We start from the raw sequence: 22876 nt of genomic DNA on the forward strand, positions 1-22876 counted from the left end.
GTGGGAATTGAACAATGATAACACATGGACACAGGAAGGGGAACATCACACACTGGGGACTGTTGTGAGGTGGGGGGAGGGGGGAGGGATAGCATTAGGAGATATACCTAATGTTAAATGACGAGTTAGTGGGTTCAGCACACCAACATGGCACATGTATACATATGTAACTAACCTGCACGTTGTGCACATGTACCCTAAAACTTAAAGTATAATTAAAAAAAAAAAAAAAGAAAGAAAATGAGTGGGAAGAAAATGAGTGGGAAGTGAATGGTTGGAAGCAGAAACATAAGGAAATACCTAGGTATTAGAAATCTTGGGGTTTTCTTGGTGAATACCTGGTAGTTGAGCATAGAGCTGGCAACAAGTGTAATGGGAGATATTATTATAGATGTCAATTGAGCCAGAAGGCAGAGAATATCTTAAAACTATTAAAACATATACTAAGGGCAGACACTTTCCTTTTAAAATTGAGATGTATAGTATGTTTAACACTTACATGGTCTAAAATTCAGATAAATTATGTTTTAAATTTTTTTTCTCAGATAGGCCAGAGTCTTAATCTTTGAGAATATTAAGGAAAAATGTTGACTTTGGAAATGTGTAAATGATTTTACCCTATTTAGGAAATTCTGTTATTGGATAGATACTATCTAGTCAATAAAACAGATCCTAAAATTTGAAAAGTCACTGATATATTTATATATTTGAATAGTGGCATTCTTTCTCAATATGCAAATGTATAAACTTCAAAGCCTAATCTTATTATTTCTTATCTTAATTGCTTGATATTTTTATGAAAATCCATTGTATTATTCCTCATTCCTTACTGGTATTTTAAAAGCCTCTTCGTGTATTTGAAAGTTTAATTAATGTACTGTTTACTTCTGTTTCTCTTAATAAAGATGCATGTCATCTGGAACTTCTGGTTAAGATGAAATCCATTTTCAAGTATTCCCTCACCTAATGTTAATTAGCAGGTTTTCTGACTGTCCTAATTATTTCTTGATTACTCAAACACATTTAGAAGGCTTTATCCTACAGGATTTTGAAGGAAAATTTGCTTAGCTACATCAGAATTGTTCGTTGTAACAAATATCCATAATTTATGCATCCAAGTGAATTTATTTCTTCAAAGTAGTGTCCTTGGGAAGTTCCATACTGATTCATTTATTTTCCAAAGCTCCAAATGCTTGAAAACTCTTTTCTTTGATACTCCTTTTATGTCCACTTCATAAGCCATGTAAAGAAAACCAGTCTTCAAAATGTATCACCCTTATTTCTTACTCCAAAATCTTTACTCAAATTAATCCACCTTATTCATCAAACTTAGCACTATACTACTCAAACACAGCCTCAGAAGACTAATATGCTAAGATAAAAAGAATATACCAGAAGCTCTAAAAAGAAGTTTTAAGAAACCAATCCTCTTGGCATATGGAAGAGTCATGTCCATACCTAGGTCTTAATTTTAAAAACAATAAAAAATTAATATTCTACCTACAATGTAGGTCCTATATTTTGAATTAGAACTTTGAAAGCTGTAATCAAATTTTTATTATTTGACTTGTAAGATTTGCTTTTGAGTTTAATTTTATTTATGTAATAAGATTTTCTAATCAGAATTCAGTGGTTAATAACAGATACATATTTTATACAATAAATTCATGCTCACTGCAGAAAATTTAAAAAATGAAGTCAGACAAAAATTTTAAATTATTAAAATTACTCATGATTCTATCATCTAGAATAAAAGTTGGTAAACTTTTTCTGTACAGCCCCAGAAGACACGTTAAGCTTTGTGGCTATACTGTCTCTGTTGTAACTACTCAACTCTGCTTTGTAGCAGGAAAGCAGCCACTGGCATGGCTGTGATCCAGTAAAATTTTACTTATGAAAATAGGTGGCAGGCAATATTTGGATCACAGGCAATAGTTTTGAACTAGCATTATGATATTTTGGTATACATTACTCTACACTATTTTTTACATAATAGCAAATATGAATATACAGAAACATACTGTTCTGTAACTAATATTTTTCACTTAGGAATAAATCAAGAACATTTTCCATGTCAATAAATGCAGAACTGGATTAAGATTTCTAACACCAAATGATATTTATTTATATGAATGTACTATATTCAGCAATCTTCTTTTGATATTTTGGTTATCTCTGGTTTGCACTTTTGTTAATGTTAAAAGGATACCGAACGAGACTTCTGTGGCCTCAATGAAGGACACAACTGAGAATTGAAAGCAACTGGTATTTAGTATTACAGCATGTTAGAGAAAGTTCCTCAGAAACCCCCAACACAGTCCTGCAGGATTTATAAAATTTAGTAGAACTGGTCCAGCTGCCAGCACCCTATCACCCACCTGTCCAGGCCTTATAAAGTAGTCTGAAGATGGGAGGACTCACTAGAGTCATGAATTTCTGGTCTGGTTGGGAGCTTCTGAATCCCAAACTAATAAAGCTAGAAATGGAGGTAAGAAGGGGACACTGGGATTTCATTCCCCAGTTAGACTACTGCAGGTCTTGGCAATTTGTTCCTCACTTGTGGTCGGAGGGAGATTGTGTTGGAGCAAGAAAGGTAAGAAGGAGAAGAACCTATAATCTCAGTTTGGCATAACAAAGTTGAGTAAGATTTCTTTGGGCCAACAGGATGATTTGAAAGGTGGCCTGGCTCAAATCATGTTGTTAGTGCCCAACGTAAGAAGTCTGATCACTAGGACCTTGGCAGCAAGAGGCTGAAGTGTGGACCTTTAGTGGCACAAGCTGAGGAAGGGTTGTAAGAGGTCAGGGAACAAGCCTTATGAAGAATTCACACATTGTCCCTGAGAGAGTCAGACAGCATCTGGACATCTGTCACTCAGAGGACAACCATAATTGTCATTAAGTACAAAAGCATTTGCCCCTTTTTCTCCTCTAATTCCTCCTCTTATCCCTAACAATGGAAAGCGCAAGAATCAGAAAGCATGGAACACGGAAGAAAGAGCAGACCATGCCCCTTTTCATGGTTCAACCTGAGCCAGAAAAAAGGGAGTGTTCAATTGGATAAGAGCCTAAAGTTTCAAATAAGACCAGACTTTCTGATATCTGACAATGTCTTTGAGGAATGAGAAAGGGAGATTCAACAGAGTGTACAGTCATGTGTCACATAATGACATTTCAGTCAATGATAGACTGCATATACAATGGTGGTCCCATAAGATTATAAAGGAGCTGAAAAATTCCTATTGCCTAGAGATGTGGTAGCTGTCATGATGTTGTAGTGCAACACATTACTCATGTGCTTATGGTGATTCTGGTGTGAACAAACCTACTGTGCTACCAGTCATATAAAAGTATAGCACACACAATTATGTAAGGTATATAATACTTGATAATAATAAATGACTGTGTTACTAGTTTATATATTTACTATACTATGCTTTTTATAATAATTATTTTAGAGTGTACTCCTTCCATTTATAAAAAAATTAAAGTTATCTGTAAAATGGCCTCAGGCAGGTTCTTCAAGAGGTATTCTAGAAGAAGGCATTGTTATCATTTATGACAGCTCCACTGTGTAATTGTGCCTGGAGACCTTCCAGTGGGTTAAGATGTGGAAGTGGAGGACAGTGACATTAATGATCCTGACCCTGTGTAGGCCTAGGCTAATATGGGTGTTTGTGTCATAGTCTTTAATAAAAGAGTGTAAAAAGTGAAATAAATAAATAAATTTAAAGATAGAAAAGAGCTTAGAGAATAAGAATATAAAGAATTTTTGTAGCACTCTACAGTGTGTTTATGTTTTAAGCTAAGTGTTATTACAAAAAAGTCAAAAGTTTAAAAACATTTGGAGTTTATAAAGTAAAAAGGTTACATTAAGCTGAGGTTAATTTATTGCTGAAGAAAGAATTTTTCTAAAAATAAATTTAGTGTAGCCTGAGCATATAGTGCTTATAAAGTCTACAGTAATATCCTAGTACAGTAAGTGTATAGGAATGTCCTGGGCCTTCACATTCACCACTCACTCACTGACTCACCCACAGCAACTTCCACCTCTACAAGTTCCATTCATGGTAAATGCTCTATACAAGTATGCCATTTTTTTATCTTTTATACAATATTTTTATGGTACCTTTCCTATGTTTAGATACACAAATGCTTATTGTTGTGTTGCAATTGCCTACAGTATTTAGTACAGTAACCTGTTATATAGGTGTGTAGCATAGGAGCTAAATAGTTCATATGGTTTGGCTGTGTCCCCACCGAGATCTCATCTTGAGTTATAGTTCCCATAATCTCTGTGTGTCATGGGCTGGAGCCGGTGGGAGGTAATTGAATCATGGGGGCATGATTACCTCCATGCTGCTGGTTCTCATGATTGTGAGTGAGTTCTCATGAGATCTGATGGTTTCATAAGAGTTTTTTCCCCCTTTTGCTCGGCACGTCTCCTTGCTGCCACCATGTGAAGAAGGGCATGTTTGTTTCCCCTTCCACCATGGTGGTAAGTTTCCTGAGGCCTCCCCAGCCATGCTGAGCTGTGAATCAAATAAACCTCTTTCGTTTATAAATTACCTAGTCTCGGCCAGGCGCAGTGGCTCACACCTGTAATCCCAATACTTTGGGAGGCTGAGGCAGGCAGATCACTCGAGGTCAGTATGAGACCAGCCTGGCCAACATGATGAAATCCCGTCTCTACCAAAAATACAAAAAAAAATTAGCTAGGCATGTTGGCGCATGCCTGTAATCCCAGCTACTTGGGAGCCTGAGGCAGGAGAATCTCTTGAACCCAGGAGGCAGAGGTTGCCGTGAGCCAAGATTGTGCCACTGGGAGATAGAGCGAGACTGCATCTCAAAAAAAAAAAAAAAAAAAAAATTATCCAGTCTCGGGTATGTCTTTATTAACAATGTGAGAAGGAACTAAAACTATTTAGCTTAGGCCTGTAGTAGGCTGTACTGCCTAGATGTGTGTGAGTACTATACACTGAATGATGTTTGCACAATGACAAAATAGCCTAAAAATGCATATCTCGGAATGTATCTGCATTGTTAAGCAACACATGGCTGTAAAGGCTATCATGTTTGTACCTCATTGAATTCATATATTCAATAAACCAGTTATATAAACAGCATTATATTCAGACATCTCTGAAAACTCATCTGATAATTTCCTCAGGACATGAACTTTGAAGAAAAATTGCTGGGACAAAGATCGTGTACATTTCTGAGCTTTTGATGCATATACCAAATTGCCCTCCAGAATGGTCATACAAATGAATACTCTTAGGAGTGTCACAAAAGATCATGGCTTCCCTGTGCCTTTATCAGCCTAATTATCTATTGCCTTTACCTATCCAACAGACATAATATGGTATCTCATTGTTAATTTGATTGGTATTTATTTTATCACTAAAACAGAAGAATATTGTTTTGTAAGATTAATGATGCTTTGTACCTCAACGTAATTTTAAAAATTTTTATTACTCTGAAAGGAAACAAAAATCTTAAATACAGTTTTAAATGTTAAAACATTGTACACTAAAGTAAAAAACTTTATAATAATAAACTTCCTTTATACAAACCTAATAATGTTAAGTTGGTTGAACCATTGTTCTTAAAAGCTGAAATCAGTATTGCAGTCATTATTTGAAAATTTGCTTTACGCAGAGCAAAAATACTAGCCTAATGGCTGTTCCAGGCAATTATATCTTACAATAATGGTAAATGTAACAATAATAATCACAAATCAACCACTCATAGTAATTGAGCACTCACTATAGACCAAGCACTATTTTAAGAATTTATAGTCATTATCTAATTTATTTTTCAAACACTATGAGATAGAAACTGTTACTATCTGTACTTTTAAACTTTTTTCTTTTTCTTTTAATTGCGATATAGCATGTACTATAAAATATATAAATTTAATACATTTTAATGTATGTATACATTCACGTAAATACAATACACCTGATGATATAGAGTGTTTTCACCACCCTAGAAGCTCCCTTGAACCCCTACCAGTTGAGATTTCCCCCAAAGATAACCACCTCTATTAACCTAGATCAGTTTTATCTATTTTTAAGCTTCATATAAGGAAATCACACAATATATTTCTTTTGTGTCTGGCTTCTTTCACTCAACATTATGTCTGTAAGATTCATCTGTATTATTATAGACAGAAGGATATTTTTTCACTGCTGGGTAGTACCCCATTGTATGAGTATGCCACTATTTATTTATTTATTTTGCTACCGATGAAAATTTAAAATGTTTTCAGTTTTTGGCCATTTTGAATAATTCTACTATGTACATTCTTTTAAGTGTTTTTTGGTAGACATAAATACTCATTTTTGTTATGTATATATACATAGTAGAATTATTGGGCCACAAGATATTCATATCTAGCTTTAGTAGATTCTGAAAACAGTCTTCCAAACTGATTGTACCAATATATATTTCTATCAGCAATGTATGAAAATTTCAATTGTTTCACATCTTGTCTAATCCATGGTATCAGTATTGTCAGTCCTTTTGATTTTAGCCATTCTAGTGGAGGTGTGGTGGTATCTTCTTGTGGTTTTAATTTGTATTTCCCCAATAGCTAGTGATAATGAGCTCCTTTTCTTTTTTTTATTGGCCAATTGTATATTTTGTGAGCGTTTGTTCATATCTTTAGCCCATTTTTAAAACTGGGTTGTCAGCTTTTTCATTATTGATTTATAGGAAGTCTTTAAATATAGCCTGAACAGGAGTCCTTTGTCAGATATACACATCACAAGTCATCTTCCAGGTTGTGGCATGCTTTTCACTCTCTAAATGTTGTCTTATGATAACCCCAATTGTTTAAAAAGACAAAGCCCCAAGGCTTAAATAGAGTAAGCAACTTGCCTGTAGTCATTCAATAAATGATAGAGCATGGATTCAAACAAAGGCTTCCCGAACCCTGAGCCAGTGCTCTTATTGCTCTTCTGTTTTAAGGAATATTAGACTAAGAATGCTTAGTTTTAGAAATACCTTCTTGAATGTTTGTCATGTTGACTAAAGGTGAATGGATGGTAATATCTTCGTATATCTAAGTTACATGATGCCATAGAAAGCATACCATATGATATGGTTTGGCTGTGTCGCCACCCAATCTCATCTTGAATTCCCATGTGTTGTGGGAGGGACCTAGTGGGAGGTAATTGAATCACGTGGGCAGGTCTTTCTCATGCTGTTCTCGTGATAGTGAATAAGTCTCACGAGATCTGATGGTTATATAAGGGAGAGTTTCCCTGCACAAGCTCTCTCTTTACCTGCTGACATCCATGTAAGACATGACTTGCTCCTCCTTGCCTTCTGCCATGATTGTGAGTCCTCTCCAGCCATGTGGAACTGTAAATCCATTAAATGTCTTTCATTTATAAATTGCCTTTATCAGCAGCATGAAAATGGACTAATACAGAATATTACAGGCACGTCTTGTAGAGAACCAGATAAATAAGTCTGCTTTGATGTGATTCTTTAATGGTTGTGTAGCAGGCCTAGAGTATGTCATCCTTGTAGCAGCTACAGAAGCTCTGAAACCAGAGTAGAGGTCACTCTTTTGTAAGAGAAGTATATATCTATTAAAAAAACCTCTTATCTGTTGGGGTGTCTCCCTCACTCTACCAAGAAAAGAAGGAATGACTCTAGCCTCCAGACACTCTTAGTAAATGGAGAAGGCACTGATTTAAATCCACTTAACAAACCTTACCCTTGTTTACTGTGTTTTTCCTAGTTACTTCCTCATTACTGGCCTCCCTACACCCTTCTTTGTTATAGCTTAAGATTGTATTTAAGCCTGAATTCAAAGTCACCTCTTGGAGATTTACTCATTTCTCTGGGTACCTCCCATCAATACATGAGGTATACATGTTAATAAACTTCTTTGTTTTCATGTTAATCTGTCTTTTGTTACAGGGATCGGTCCCAACCAAGAACTCAGAAGGAGAGAAAATTATTTTTTCCTCCCCTATAGTTGCAAGTTTGCATGTACCTAAGAAAGTAAATGACAATAGTCTTCAAAAGCTTCTTTTAAGAAAAATTTTGCATAGGTGTTTTCTCTGAATTTTCAGGTCTTCTCTGATTCCCAGAAGAATTAATGGACACTCAAAAGGAGGTCTCTGATTCCCTATATTAGATAAAAATTTCTTTGCATTTTTGTTTTTGATAATGTATGTCTTGGTTTATTAAGTTGGTTTAATTAAGGCCACTAAGAAGTATCATTTTCTGCCTCTGAGAGATGGCAAAGATTTAGAAATTACAATAAGTGGGGCAGATACAATATAGGCATCTGGGCTTGGTGGAGTGGAAAAGTAGTATAACTGTTGTTAAACAATATATGAAATTAATATCATTTCACCAAGAAAGTCTCCCTCTAGAAATCTGTCCTAAGGAAATAAACATCCATCCATTCAACAACTACTGATTGAGCACCTATTATGTGCTATATACTATATCAGGCATGGAAGTTAGCAGTAAAAATACCAAGTCTCTGACTCAGTGGAATTAATCATCTAGTGGGGGAGAGAGAAAATAAGTGTGTGTGTGTGTGTGTGTGTGTGTGTATGTGTGTGTGGATTTATATATACAAATGTATTTTAATTAATTTAAATGTAAATCTTAATTTATAAGTCTATTTATTAAATAAAAAATGTGCATTATAATAATAAATGCATAAACTTTTATTATATGTAATAAATATCAAAGCACATATATTCAAAACATATATAAAACTATATATAAATTATATATGTAAAAAATATATATAGCGGCCAGGCGTGGTGGCTCACGCCTGTAATCCCAGCACTTTGGGAAGCTGAGGCGGGTGGATCACCTGAGGTCAGGAGTTCAAGACCAGCCTGGCTAACATGGTGAAACCCCGTCTCTACTAAAAATACAAAAATTAGCTGAGCATGGTGGCACGTGCCTGTAATCCCAGCTACTAGGGGGGCTGAGGCAAGAGGATTGCTTGAACCTGGGAGGCAGAGGTTGCGGTGAGCCGAGATCTTGCCACTGCACTCCAGCCTGGGCAACAGAGTAAGACTCTGTCTCAAAAAGAAAAGAAAAGAAAAGAAAAAAAAATATATAATGTCTCATAGTAGTAAGTGCACTAAGAAGAAAAATAAAGCTGGTCATGGTAAAGAGTCAGCTCAGGCCTATCTGAAGAGGTGATATTGAAACCTCCTTTGCAAAGATTGAGACAGAGATATCTAACATGGCTGACTCCATCTTGCTTCTATTCTCACAGGCTGGCTGTCCTCACTCAGTCCTGGGTGTAGGCCAAGCTAACCATGGCAGGAATTTAGTTTACAGTTTAACTTTGAAGCAAGGATGATAATAGTTCCTCCCTAAAATTGACCCTCCCTGCCTTGTTTTGTAAGTCTACTGAAAGGTGATAAGATTAAGAGTATTAAAGGGGCCTGAATTCTGCTAAGATATAGGTGTAGTTAAACGATAACCAGCCATTGTTTCTTAGCTTGCTTTTCTACAATCCCTTACTGCTCAGAAGTCCTGTGGCCAGAAGTTACAAGATTTGTGACTTTCCCAATCTTTCTTATAGACAACATCACTGTTGTAGAACCTAAGATGGGTTTTTTGAGATGTTTTTCAGACTTTTCAACTGACTGACTCCACTCAGACCCATGACTCATGACTCAACCAGTCCTGTGGTCCTGACTCAGAGGCTGACTCAGCCACGAGGACAGTTTTCCATACCTCTACGATTTCATTGCCAAACAATCAGCATTTCCCATTCCCTAGCCCCCTGCCCATGAAACTATCCTTGAAAAACTCTAACCTCCAAGCTTTCAGGGCAGCTGATTCGAGTAATTACTCCCATCCTCTCACTTGGCTAGCCTTGCAACTATTAAACTTTTCCTACCACAGTACTGCTCTCAGTGGATTGGTTTTATCTGTGCAGCAAGCAAGATGAACCTGTTAGGCAATTACAATATTTAACAGATATGTGAATGAAATAATAGGAGTTCTGGGAGAAAGAGTGTTCCAGGAAGAAAGCATAGTAAGTCTAAAAACCTTGAAGCGGGAACAAACAAGGACAAGAAAGTCAGTGAGACTGGGGTCTGATTGCAGGATGTGAGGTGGAGGAGTTGGAGGCACCAGATCACATACAGCCTGGTAGAGCATGAGAGAAATTTGGATGTAACATAAGTATGTTTGCTGAGTAGGGGAGAGAGATGATCTGATTCCTGTCTTCATAAGACCATTTTGCCTCTTGCGTGGAGAATAGACTGTGAAAGGATAAACATGAGGAGATCAGTCAAGAAACGACTGCAGTTGCCCATGAGAGAGCTAATGGTTGCTTAGACAAAGGTGGTAGTGGTAGAGAATTGAGCAGTGGTTTCAGAATATATTTGTATGTAGAACCAACTAGACTTATTCATTAGGTGTGGGACATTAAAGAAAGAGAGGAATCAAGTCTCATTACCATGGTTTTAGCATGAGCACTTGAAAAATAGTGGGTGATGTCATTTACTAAGATTTGAGATAACAGTATTTAGGATGCTAATAAAACTTCCTGGCCTTTTAGCCAGAAAAACCTGGCTATTTCTAATTCCATTTTTGACTGATTGAGTCATCTTAAGCAAGTGATTTATGTGATTGGGACCTTAATGCTTACATGTGCAAAATACTACCCTTTTCTTATTGACTTTAAGAACCAAGAACACTGTAAAAGTGAAGTGAGGGCTTCAGGTGGAAAATGCAATGGAAAGGTAATAGTTGTAAGAAGTAAGCTCAGATAATGAGGCCAGGGTCATGAATTCTATTCCACACTCCCCAGGACCTGTGAATTTCTAAATCCATGCCATTTATCAGGGAGGACTCATTAGGCTCACTGATACCTGTTGACATCTTCTGAAATAAGCCTTCCAGAATAGCAAAGAAGCCCCAAAACTTGAAAAAAGTTCTCAGGTCACCAAGGCCACAATTTCAATAGAATTGCACTTTGTGCTTTCTGAGGTCTCTGAAGAATAATGCTTGTCAACTAATACAATGAATTTTTCCTTTTTATACTTAATATTGCACTAAACAGAGGCATGCAGTGAAAGGACTGATGGTCACATTCTTTCCTGTATTCACAAGCACCTTGTACAACATCTCATTATTATTCCAAAAAACAAAGCAATGCCCATATTACTGTTTAACACTCATTAAACCAAGTTAGCTCACTTTGATAAGGAATTCTGAAATCATTCTCTGCTTTATCTTTCCACTTTCTAAATAATAAGAAATTAATGGGCATCAGTCAGAGTACCTACTTTCTTCCAATTGTGCAGTCTTGTGAGAAATAAAGCTGAAAAGCTCAGGGGGCTCTACAGCAGACAAAAGGGGGAAAAACCACACTGCAAACCTGTATGTATGTAAACTGGTGTGCTGCAGGAGACTTAAGCCTTTGCCTTGTTCGTCTCCTCCTTACCTACACATTTGACAAAATACAACTGATAGAAGCCACCAACTGATGACATATATTTTAAAAGTTTAAGGTAGAATTCCATTAAGATAGTTAATGGATTAAAAAAAAAAGCACACAGGCTGCAAGATGAACAAATGAATTCAGTACCTTGGAGTTCTCTGCAAAATAAAATGTTGTAAGAGATGTAAAGATGCTAGAGTATCATCACTATATTGTTAGATGCACAAAAAAGGAGTATTCATTTGTAGTGTAATGGGACTACACCTATCTAAAGGAGCAGGAAGAAAAGGCCAACATTGCAGATAATGATCAGATACAACTCTCAGATTGCCTTACTTTATTAGATATTTTCCTGAAAGGTTATGTGCATAAAGATCTTGGAAAATTTAGTGATAATTTGAACGCACTATTTAAAAGATGTGTGTGTGTGTGTGTTTGTGAAAATAGAGCTTTCTTGGCAGTGCAATAATCACACACAATTATTTTAAAATTCTATATTCATATGGATTAGATTTGCTTAAATTAGAAACATATATAATAAAAAGTTATATATACCTCAGAAGAGGTCAATAAATAAAACAGGGAGAAATGATTATATAAAGACATGATTATATAAAATGATTATATATACACATCAATCAGTGTGTATAGTCCATGCAGATAAAACTTCTGCATGGAAGTTTTATCCTTGTTCTAAAGTCCCTACCATTGCTCCAAATCTCTTATGAGCTAATGTCTGGTCTCCTTTTCCTTAGAGAAATGGGGAAGCTGGATGAGATCACCTCAATATTACAATTTCTTCCATCTGCACCCATTTTCTTCACATCTCTGAGGAAAAGGTGTATGCTTCCACTTGGCCTCTCTATTTCTTTTTTTTATTCTTATTATGCTTTAAGTTATGGGGTACATGTGCAGAACGTGCAGTTTTGTTACGTAGGTATACATGTGCCATGGTGGTTTGCTGCACCCATCAACTCATCACCTACATTAGGTATTTCTCCTAATGTTATCCCTCCCCTAGCCCCCAACTCCCCAACAGGCCCCAGAGTGTGATGTTCCCCGCCCCATGTCCATGTGTTCTCATTGTTCAACTCCCACTTATGAGTGAGAACATGCGGTGTTTGATTTTCTGTTCTTGTGATAGTTTGCTGAGAATGATGGTTTCCAGCTTCATCTATGTCCCTGCAAAGGACATGAACTCATCTTTTTTATGGCTGCATAGTATTCCATGGTGTATATGTGCCACATTTTCTTTATCCAGTCTAATATTGATGAACATTTGGGTTGGTTCCAAGTCTTTGCTATTGTGAATAGTGCTGCAATAAACATACGTGTGCACGTGTCTTTATAGTAGAATGATTTATAATCCTTTGGGTATATACCCAGTAATGGGATTGCTGGGTCAAATGGTATTTCTAGTTCCAGATCCTTGAGGAATTGTCACACTGTCTTCCAATGGTTGAACTGATTTTTACTCCCACCAACAGTGTAAAAGCATCCCTATTTCTCCACATCCTCTCCAGCACCTGTTGTTTCCTGACTTTTTAATGATTGCCATTCTAACTGGCGTGAGATGGTATCTCACTGTGGTTTTGATTTGCATTTCTCTAATGACCAGTGATGATGAGCATTTTTTCATATATTTGTTAGCTGCATAAATGACTTCTTTTGAGAAGTGTCTGTTCATATCCTTTGCTGACTTTTTGATGGGATTGTTTCTTTTCTTGTAAATTTGTTTAAATTCTTTGTAGATTCTGGATATTAGCCCTTTGTCAGATGGCTAGATTGCAAAAATTTTCTCCCATTCTGTAGGTTGCCTGTTCACTCTGATGGTAGTTTCTTTTGCTGTGCAGAAGCTCTTTAGTTTAATTATATCCCATTTGTCAATTTTGGCTTTTGTTGCCATTGCTTTCGGTGTTTTAGACATGAAGTCTTTGCCCATGCCTATGTCCTGAATGGTATTGCCCAGGTTTTCCTCTAGGATTTTTATGGTCCTAGGTCTTATGTTTAAGTCTTTGATCCATCTTGAGTTGATTTTTGTATAAGGTGTAAGGAAGGGGTCCAGTTTCAGTTTTCTGCATATGGCTAGCCAGTTTTCCCAACACCATTTATTAAGTAGGGAATCTTTTCCCCATTCTTGTTTGTGTCAGGTTTGTCAAAGATCAGATAGTTGTAGATGTGTGGTGTTATTTCTGAGGCCTCTGTTCTGTTCCATTAGTCTATATCTCTGTTTTGGTACCAGTACCATGCCGTTTTGGTTACTGTAGCCTTGTAGTATAGTTTGAAGTCAGGTAGCATGATGCCTCCAGCTTTGTTCTTCTTGCCCAGGATTGTCTTGGCTATGTGGGCTCTTTTTTGGATAAAACCTCTTTCCTATAGCTTCAACTACTTCCTTTACACTTGATTCTTTTTTTCTGTCTACAAATGCTGAAATCTCCATGTTCTAAAAGTCACTCCTTAACTCAGTTTACTCCCAGGGCTTCCCACCTATCTTCTCTCTGGTGCTGAACTGGAAGTGGGTGTGTGAAATATGCCTTTCTGCTTCCTGTCTTCCTATCCATCCTTATCCTCCTGTCAAAGGCAAAGGTGTCTCTTCTGTCTTCTCTTGAACTGGACATGATTTTTTTCTGGAAACTTTTTCCCTTCAATGTCCACAATATTTTTCACCTTTGATGTTCATGAAATTTCCCCTGACTGGTTCTCCTTTAGCTTCTACAACAGCTCGTTCTAGACCCCTTCACCATCTCCTATTCTTCTGCCTGTCCCTAAATGTTGGCATTCCTCAAGATCATACTCTAGTCTTTTTCTTGGGCATTACATGATCTAATTCAATTCAATGACTTCCTCTACCACACTGACATAGATTCCTAAATCAAGAGGTAAATTCTCTACTTTTCTCTCAAGATCAAGACCCTTTTCCACCAATACTCTATAGGATGTCTGCTTTTAGATATTTCATGGGTATTTCAAACTCAACATGCCTGATACTGAATGTATAAGCTGCTCCACACAGGGGCCTTTCCAAGTAGTCCTCACGTCAATTGATGGTATTGCCAGTTATATATTAGAACTGTCAGCAATGATTCTTAAATTCTCTCTCTTACATTCTGCAGTTAACTAATTATCCTCATCTATCAGCCTTATTCACCGTTTAAACTAGCATTTATTCAGCATTTACTATGTGCCACTACCTCATTTTAGGCCCTAATCTATTCTCTCTGGATTACCATGAAATTTCTTTACTGATCTTGACCATTCTAGTCTCTGAGCCCATGTCTTCCCTTCTTCCCTACTCCATACCTTTATAATCCTCTTCACATAATTATATTATGATCTTCCATTAATTATAATTATTTATTTGCACTTAAAAATTATTACCAGGAGAGATTCTTGAGTCCTGGAATCATGTCTTGATTTACCTTTATGCCCAATGTACAGAAAGCCATAGGTGAGCAATACGTTTGCTGAAATAAGGAATGTCCAATTCAAGGCAGTGCTCTCTAGCCTCAGAAATAAAAATATAAGAAAAATTCACTGCTAATAGCTGAATCATAACTAGTAAAACAAATATACATAGAACAGACACATAAATGCATTTTAGCTGTTGACTATGTAAATTACGCATATCATTGTTGTCAAGTCTATATATTCGCAATATATATTTAATGTCACTTGAGGTTAAAACAATTCTCTTGAGTGGATCTCCTTGCGATGTACTAGACAGGGTCATAACAACAAACACATTCCTTTGTGGCAGGTCTAGTATTTTGATGTTTGATGAAATGAACAAATCTGTGATTATCTCCTTTGTTATAAATCCTATACAAACATACATATAGATAAAAAATGTACCTCTGATAACGATATAGCTAAGGCATATACCTCTGCCTGACAATCTGAAGCACATGTGAAAAAAAAAATCACCAAAATATAGCCATTCCTCTTTGCAGCTAAACTCATGTTCTGTTCTTTGGCAAGATTTCTCTTGAAACTATAGGTATTCTGTTTGGAAATTCATCAGAGGCTTCTAGCCCAAGAACCCATCTCTGCAATGGTCTATATAGTCAATATTAAATTATATTATACAATATCCATTTGTGTTATCAACGATTACATGGTTGATATACTTGTGTAATAATACTCTTTAAGAAATCCCACCAGGTGTGGTGGCTCATACCTGTAATCCCAGCACTATGGGAGGCCAAGGTGGGCAGATCATTTGAGGTCAGGAATTCAAGACTAGCCTGGCTAACGTGATGCAACTCTGTTTCTACTAAAAATACAAAAATTAGCCAGGTATGGTGGCACACATCTGTAATCCCAGCTACTTGGGAGGCTGAGGCAGAAGAATTGCCTGAACCCAGGAGGCAGAGATTGCAGTGAGCTGAGAACGTGCCACTGTATTCCAGCCTGGCAACAGAGCAAGACTGTCAAAAAAAAAAAAAAAAAAAAAAAAAAAAAGAGAGAGAGAAAGGGAAGGGAAGGGAAAGGGAGGGGAGGGGAAGGGAGGGAAGAAATTCCACATAGAATGTCCTGTGGCATTATTTAATTTCCCCTACTCTTTAGGTAATAGATGTGCATTACTGAGGGTGTCATTATAAAGACTTCGTGTGTTGGCGATGGTACCACTCACAATTAACCCATATCCCCAGGTGCATAATTTTACATCTGGTGGCCCAAGAGTGATTCTGAAGTACATTGGGAATCCTTCAGTCTATCCATTTAGGCTTCCTCCAACTAGATGCCTCATTTAAACTTGGTCTAATTCCAAATGTCCCCAAGGGTTACCTAGTATAGTATAGTACAGGCTGCTTTAGCTCATAACACCCACTAGTTAGCTGACTTGCTTTATTAGTCATAGGATTTCCTGTTGGAAATGTCTCATCTCAATTCCTCACTGGAGGGTGAACTACTGGACCACCTTTGGAAACAGAAAACATTTTCTATATGGTGTCTGCCATTTTGTAGAAGTGGAAAACAAAACAGAATACTTAAGTCATAAGCCCAGAAATACTGAGTAGCCAAGGACAGACATGGAACTTAAAGCTAGTTTTTGAAATTCTCCGAGCATTATAATATTACACATTGGGTCAATCTAAGGCAGTCAGGCCCTTCTTATCCAGTGCCCACATTATCATGCCTGTAGCTAAATTCCAGAAACCCTCTCTCTTCAAGCATGGTTCATGACTGTGAAGCTTGCTAAATCCTAATTAGCTACATTTATGTCTAATTTTCATATCTTGACTTTTAGACTAATCCTGAAAGCAGGGAAAATTGTCTATAAAGTGACTCTTCACTGAATCAGAATCTGCATGTCCTTTAGAAAAAAAAAAACAACAAAATAAAAAGCATATTCATTTTAAGTAACTTAGGACCCATAAAAGTTAGGCAGTGAACTTCAAAAGTCTAAAACCAGCCCTGCATCATACTCACATCTTCTGGTAATTCTCTGCCAGGCTACAATCCTGACTTAGGATGTCACTGCTCTTTCCATTTGAAAGCCTCTATCAATCAGGTTCTGGCCATTGGTTCATGGCCTGCAGAGATTCTGTGGTTCAATAGAAAGTCAGCCATTGCCCTCCTTGTCTAAGCATCATATGACAACTACCCTGTTGTACCTTGTGCCACTTTGGAAGCACAAGCTGCCAGCCTCACACTCAGATAAAACAATGGCATCTCCAACTATCTCCATGTTGAAAGCTGGCAGCCTACCTTCTGTATCAGTGAACTGGCACCGATGTTAGTGAACTTGTCAGCTTTTCTGAGTGAGCATAAAAAAGGGCTTGTTTACTAGAGTTTGAATCTAATGAACAGCTTTCTCTTATTTTGTGTAGTTTTTCCAGCCATTTGACTTGCAGAATAGAGAAATCATATTTCAACTTCTCCGGGTTGAAAAACTGCCCCTTTTCCAATTTGTCACCAAGAGATGTGAAACAGTTATTTCTGAGGCAGCTTTATTATGGAAAATAGAATGAGTAACTCATGTCGCTCAAATCAAATTCCTCAGGGAGTAGGTTCAGTAGAGATTCAAAAGCTGGGAGTAAGATTAAAAACTAATTTTCTAGGTGAAATGAGAAAAGGTTCTTTTTCTTTGAAATGAATGGCTCTTTATAGAGGAAACAGATTCACAAGGTACAAGTAAAACATTTGAATTCGGGTCTCCTCACCCTCTTTCCTCTCTAGATTCAGAAAACAGCAAAGGGTTTTAGCTTTGATACTTCAGGCAGGATGAGGTGGACACTGGCAATGGAAAAGTCAGCCTGAGAGCTAGGGAGGAAACTGAGTCTTTCTTCATCTAGTCAGGGAAACTTCCAGGAGACAAGCTTTTTGCCTCAGGCTGCTTCAGGGACTCAGGTACCAGGTTCTTACTCTTTATGGACCTACGTACTTACTGCCTGCTCAAAGGAGACTATGTGGACATTCAGGGGTTGGACTGCCCAGGCATAAGAAAGATACCAATCCTTTAAAAATATATTTCTAAAAGCCAATTATAAAAAAATTCTAATGTATTTAAATTCAATCTGCAGCCTTATTACAACGTTGTTAAAGCGGGCTTTATATTTAAGACCTAGAGGTTACAGGAGAAAGTCTGTTGGCCATAGGAAGTCTCCTTTAAAAAGTGGTATCAAGCTGCTCTGCTCTGCCTATGGAGTAGCCATTCTTTTTGCTTCTTTCTTAATAAACTTGCTTTCACTTTTTTCTAAGGCAGTGTTGTCCCATCTTTGGGCTTCCCTGGGCCACACTGGAAGAAGAAGAATTGTCTTGGGCCACACATAAGTTATACTAACACTAACGATAGCTGATAAACTAAAAAAATTAAATCGCAAAAAAATCTCATAATGTTTTAAGAAAGTTTACAAATTCGTGTTGGATTGCATTCAAAGTCTTGGGCTGCATGTGGCCTGTGGGCTGTGGGTTGGACAAGCTTGTTCTATGGACTTGCCCCGAATTCTTTCTTGTGTGAGGTCTAAGAACTCTCTCTTGGGGTCTGGATCAGGACCCCTTTCTGGTAATATCTTCCTGGCAAACCACGAAGGGACTACACTATTAAGAGATCCCTGACCCAAAGGAAAATCATCAGCAAAGCACAAATTGGCCGACTTTGGGTAAGTGGTGGGGTACATTTTACCCAGGAAAAGGATGGGATTGGGTTAGAGGTCCAATTTAGGAGAGTTAGAGTCCCTCCTAATACAGAGAAGGTTAAAGGCCCTTCTTAGTAAAAAACAAGGATGCTTGACCGAACTTGGGTTTGAGGCCCAACTTAGGAAGGGTAGAGTCCTTTCTAAAATGTTAAGGGGTTAAAGGCCCACCTCAGTAAAGTCTCTCTTTGATTAAAAATGGACTTGGCGCTATGAGCTGTTAACCACTATTCTCTTTAGATTAATCTGCCTTGTGCCCTTCGCTGTCAGCTGTGGGTGACTGGATTAGGCATGTACAGATCATAAGACATGGGCAGCTTTTTTCTCCCCAATGGGGGAAACTTGATGGCTGATGGGACTGCTGGAAGAGATTCCTTTGCAACTGACAAGCGGCCGCCTGAACTTTTGACTCAGTGTCGTTGGGATCTGTGGGTCTTTCCCTGGCCTCCCTGAATTCCTTGCCTTCCCTACCCCACCGCAGGCCATGCTTTTCTCTCACTTTCTCTCCTTTCCCTGTTCTGTCTTTTCTGTTACTTGGGGACACTGTCTGCTCTTCCATCTTGTACAGAGACCACATGTTGAAACTTCTAGTCTGAGGTCATTCCATCCCACTTTGAATGGATTAAGGATGACAGGCATCAACCAGGGCAAGTTTTAACCTTGCCAGTTTGATATTGGGTGCTAAGTGGAGTGGCTAATGTCTATGTTTTGTCATGCATATTTTGCTCTGGCTGGAAAAGAAAATGTTAATCCACTTCCTCCGTGCAGCCTGTTGGGCCGCATCTTGCAAAACTGAGAGGATTTTTTGCCTATGGTCCCATGAAACTGAAAAAAGATGATTTTCCTTTGTGATATGGTTTGGCCCCCCCGGGCTATGGTGCAAGAAGCAGGGTCGCTAGGGCCACTCAGGGAGAAGGAACCCAGAAACCTAGCATGCTGGTGAAAGGTGAGAATTTCTTACCAGTCAGCCTTCTAGCCTCTCTCTCTGTGCAAACTGGTTGAAGGAATGGTAAAAATCACTGTTTGTCTCCTGTAAAGTTTTGATTCATGGGAAAAAGGATTTGTGAGGCTAGTGTTAGCCTGTAGCAAATCTGATGTGCTTTACCGTATGAATTTATCTTTCTGCTTTGTTCTGTCATAAAAAAGGTACCCTAGAATAAAATGTGGATCTAGGACCCCTGTAAGCCTGCTGTTCAAGCCAGCCCAGCAAGCTGGTCAGTTACAAACTTTGCTGTATGTCCCTGAAACAAACAAACAAACAAACAAACTGGATGAGGTTTCCCTCTCCTCTTGTTTTATGTCCTTGAGAGCTTGACTTGTAACCATATGGTAGTACTTTCTCTTGGTCTTTGCCACCCAGAGGACAGGAATTTTGGAGTTCATGTCATACATAGCTCCAAAAATCATCTTGAGCAGTTAAAAGCCTTAAAATGATATTATTTTAAGAGGGCTGGTTCCTCAAGGGGGCTTAGGGGTTTGTTATCATGCTAGGTCTCTTAGGAACGTTGTTATATGGAGATTTATGGCTTTGCAATTGTGACCATAAAGAATTGGGCAAGAAATAGATATGACGTTGCATTGCAAACTATGAAACTCACAATAACATAACATAAATGACTAAGAGTTTCTTGCCTATCCTACCTTTGCCCCATGATACATACCTCATCAAGACATTAGAAGTTATTATAAAAATAACTTCACATGGAGAATAGAGAAAAATAACTCATAATCTTGTCACACTAAACAGGAGTTTTCAAACTGGGCTCTGTGGACTTCCAAGAGGCCCATGAATTCAAGGGATCCAATAACTTGGATGGCTAAAAACACATTTTTATTTTCTTTTTTTCTCAATGGAAATTTAGCACTTTCTTCAATTATACTTGAGGGTGACAAACTATAGTAGTCCTAGCAGTACCTGTAACTTTGTCACCAACACAAATCAGATATTCTCATCAGACATTACAGTTGTCATAGAATGCTTGAAATATTTATACTCTTCACCACTTCAAAATTACAGTAGATATTAGACCCACTGATAAATCTTATTTAATGCATTATTGCTATATTACTATATCATAACTAAAAACTGACAATTGGATTTCAATAGAATTCATTTTCTTTGAAAAGCTGTAAATTTCATTTTATAGATTTTATAGTTTGAGAATAGGCTTCACTAGCCAGCCACAGGCATCCATGGCACAAACAGAGGTTAAGAACCTCTGTGTCTGTGCCCGTCATTTCATTCTGCCCTAATATGTTACTTGCTTTTTCTATGTTGCTTCTTTTATTTACTTTAAAGCTGCATAATACTAGTACTTTAAGTAATTCCCCTAGTACTAATAATCTTGTTTCCATTTTTCATTGATACGAATGCTACATTAGGCATCTTAATGCATAATATTTTATTTTTCTTGCTTTGTATTTAGGATTATTACCTTGGTATAGAATCCGGGAAGAGGAATTAACTGGTCTAATGGAATACACATCATTATGGTTCTTGATTTATTCTATGAAGTTGCCTTCCAAAAGGGTTCTCTCAATTTAAAAATACTGTAAGTGATATAAGCAGGACAGCTGCTAATGATTTTTCAAAGTACTTACAAAACTTCTATTGGATATTAATCATATGTCCTACAGGTTAGTCAAAGGATTGGGTAAAATTTTGGCTGAAAAGAAATAAGCAAATAACTTTTCCTAATCTAAAAATGCAGTATATGAATTAATTTCCAAATTGAGTAGAATTATTTTACTTTTTAACAGGGAACTAAGAACAATGATATTGTGCTAGGGAAGACAAATTATTTTTAATGTGGATATGGCCATTTTGCTTGTTAAATGGGCAAAAATCATAAGACACTGATAGAAGTTCATATATTTCAAAGCAACGAATAAGATAATCTCTACTGTGGTAAGAACTTCTAGTGTTTGATATTTTATATTCAAAGGAAACAAGCATGTATTTTTTAGAAGCTAAGTAATTAATAGCCGACAAGGATTACCAAAAAATTGTTTACCAAGGAAAGTGTTTTGCAAAAGCTGGAAGTCAAATATACGGGCTGACAAGTTTCTGCTTTTTTACTGACATAAATTCAGCAGGGACTTTTCAGGCAGGGGTGTGCTTCTCATTTGGATCATACCCCCCCTCCCTAGCCTTTTGGATCTCAGTAGCCAACCCTGTCTCCAGGCAGGGCTGCTTCCCCACATGTGGCATCCAGTATTCTCTTTCCACAGATGGGGATGTGTTAGATCGTTCTTTCAATACTATGGCTGTACATACAGCAACCTGTCAACCTGTGAGGTGGGCATCCACCTTAATGAAAACAAAGAAAAAGAGCTAAGACAGTGTCTTCTTCCTCTGTCCATATTCTAGGGAGGGCACCAGAGCTTCCCTCTTGCATGCCACTTAATGATATTCACTTAATATGTGCTAATTATGTTACTACTATGAAAGAATAGAGTGCCAGGGGCTGCAGGGGACATAACAGACGAGACACATTAACCAGTGGAAGGATAGAAAGACATCTCCACCATTTCATATAAAGGTGAGGAAGACCAAGAAGGCCCTTCCGCATCTTTAAATGTGTCACTGAAAAAGTCAGGCTCATGAAACCTTAATATCCTGAAATGAAACCACAAGTGCAAATAATTACTATGAGGCAAGAAAACAAGTACATAAAGAGGAATGTAAGTGCAGGTCACTGTTGCATGCCAGCATGTCATGAAACGATCATAGAGTCAAAATATAGGCAGGACCTGGAAATTTCTTTGAACAAATGGTTACTTTTTATGGCTACCAATTTACTGAGTGTCTGTGGCATGACAGGCATTGAGCCAGGCAGCTTCCATGTATTAGTTCATTAATCCTTACAACAATCCTAGGAGGTAGGTATTAGCACTCCCATTTCTGAAAAAAAATTATGCTTTAAGTTCTGGGATACACGTGCAGAACGTGCAGGTTTGTTACATAGGTATACCTGTGCCATGGTGGTTTGCTGCACCTATCAACCCATCATCTACATTAGATATTTCTCCTAATGTCATCCCCCCCCATTGCCCCTACCCTCTGACAGGCCCCAGTGTGTGATGTTTCCCTCCCTGTGACCATGTGTGTGTTCTCGTTGTTGAACTCCCACTTATGAGTGAGAAGATGCGGTGTTTGGTTTTCTGTTCCTGTGTTAGTTTGCTGAGAATGATGGTTTCCACCTTCATCCATGTCCCTGCAAAGGATGTGAACTCATTCTTTTTTATGGCTGCATAGTATTCCATGGTGTATATGTGGCACCCCCAC

At 37.7% G+C, this 22876-nt stretch overlaps 1 protein-coding gene across 21 annotated transcripts in view, besides 1 other annotated feature; it reads right to left on the bottom strand.

The window, feature by feature from the left end:
• Positions 1-22876, bottom strand: part of ZNF385B (zinc finger protein 385B) — a 419631-nt gene that overhangs the window by 9053 nt on the left and 387702 nt on the right. Inside the window, exon 7 of one of the 21 annotated variants that reach the window (NM_001352810.2) lies at positions 14869-14949. The exons of the other annotated variants lie outside the window; for them this stretch is intronic. Coding sequence (NP_001339739.1) covers positions 14869-14949 — 81 coding nt within the window. The remainder of the gene's footprint in view (positions 1-14868; positions 14950-22876) is intronic. 21 annotated transcript variants of the gene reach the window in all.
• Positions 8902-10101: an enhancer, noted in NCBI's record as "P300/CBP strongly-dependent group 1 enhancer chr2:180324663-180325862 (GRCh37/hg19 assembly coordinates)". NCBI's record gives its function as "activates an origin of replication core promoter dependent on BRD2, BRD4, P300/CBP, MED14 and CDK7 cofactors, with strong dependence on P300/CBP, by STARR-seq in HCT116 cells {active_cell/tissue: HCT116}" and the evidence as "EXISTENCE:reporter gene assay evidence [ECO:0000049][PMID:35650434]".

This window comes from Homo sapiens, chromosome 2, assembly GCF_000001405.40.
Source record: "Homo sapiens chromosome 2, GRCh38.p14 Primary Assembly".
Lineage (NCBI taxonomy): Eukaryota > Metazoa > Chordata > Mammalia > Primates > Hominidae > Homo > Homo sapiens.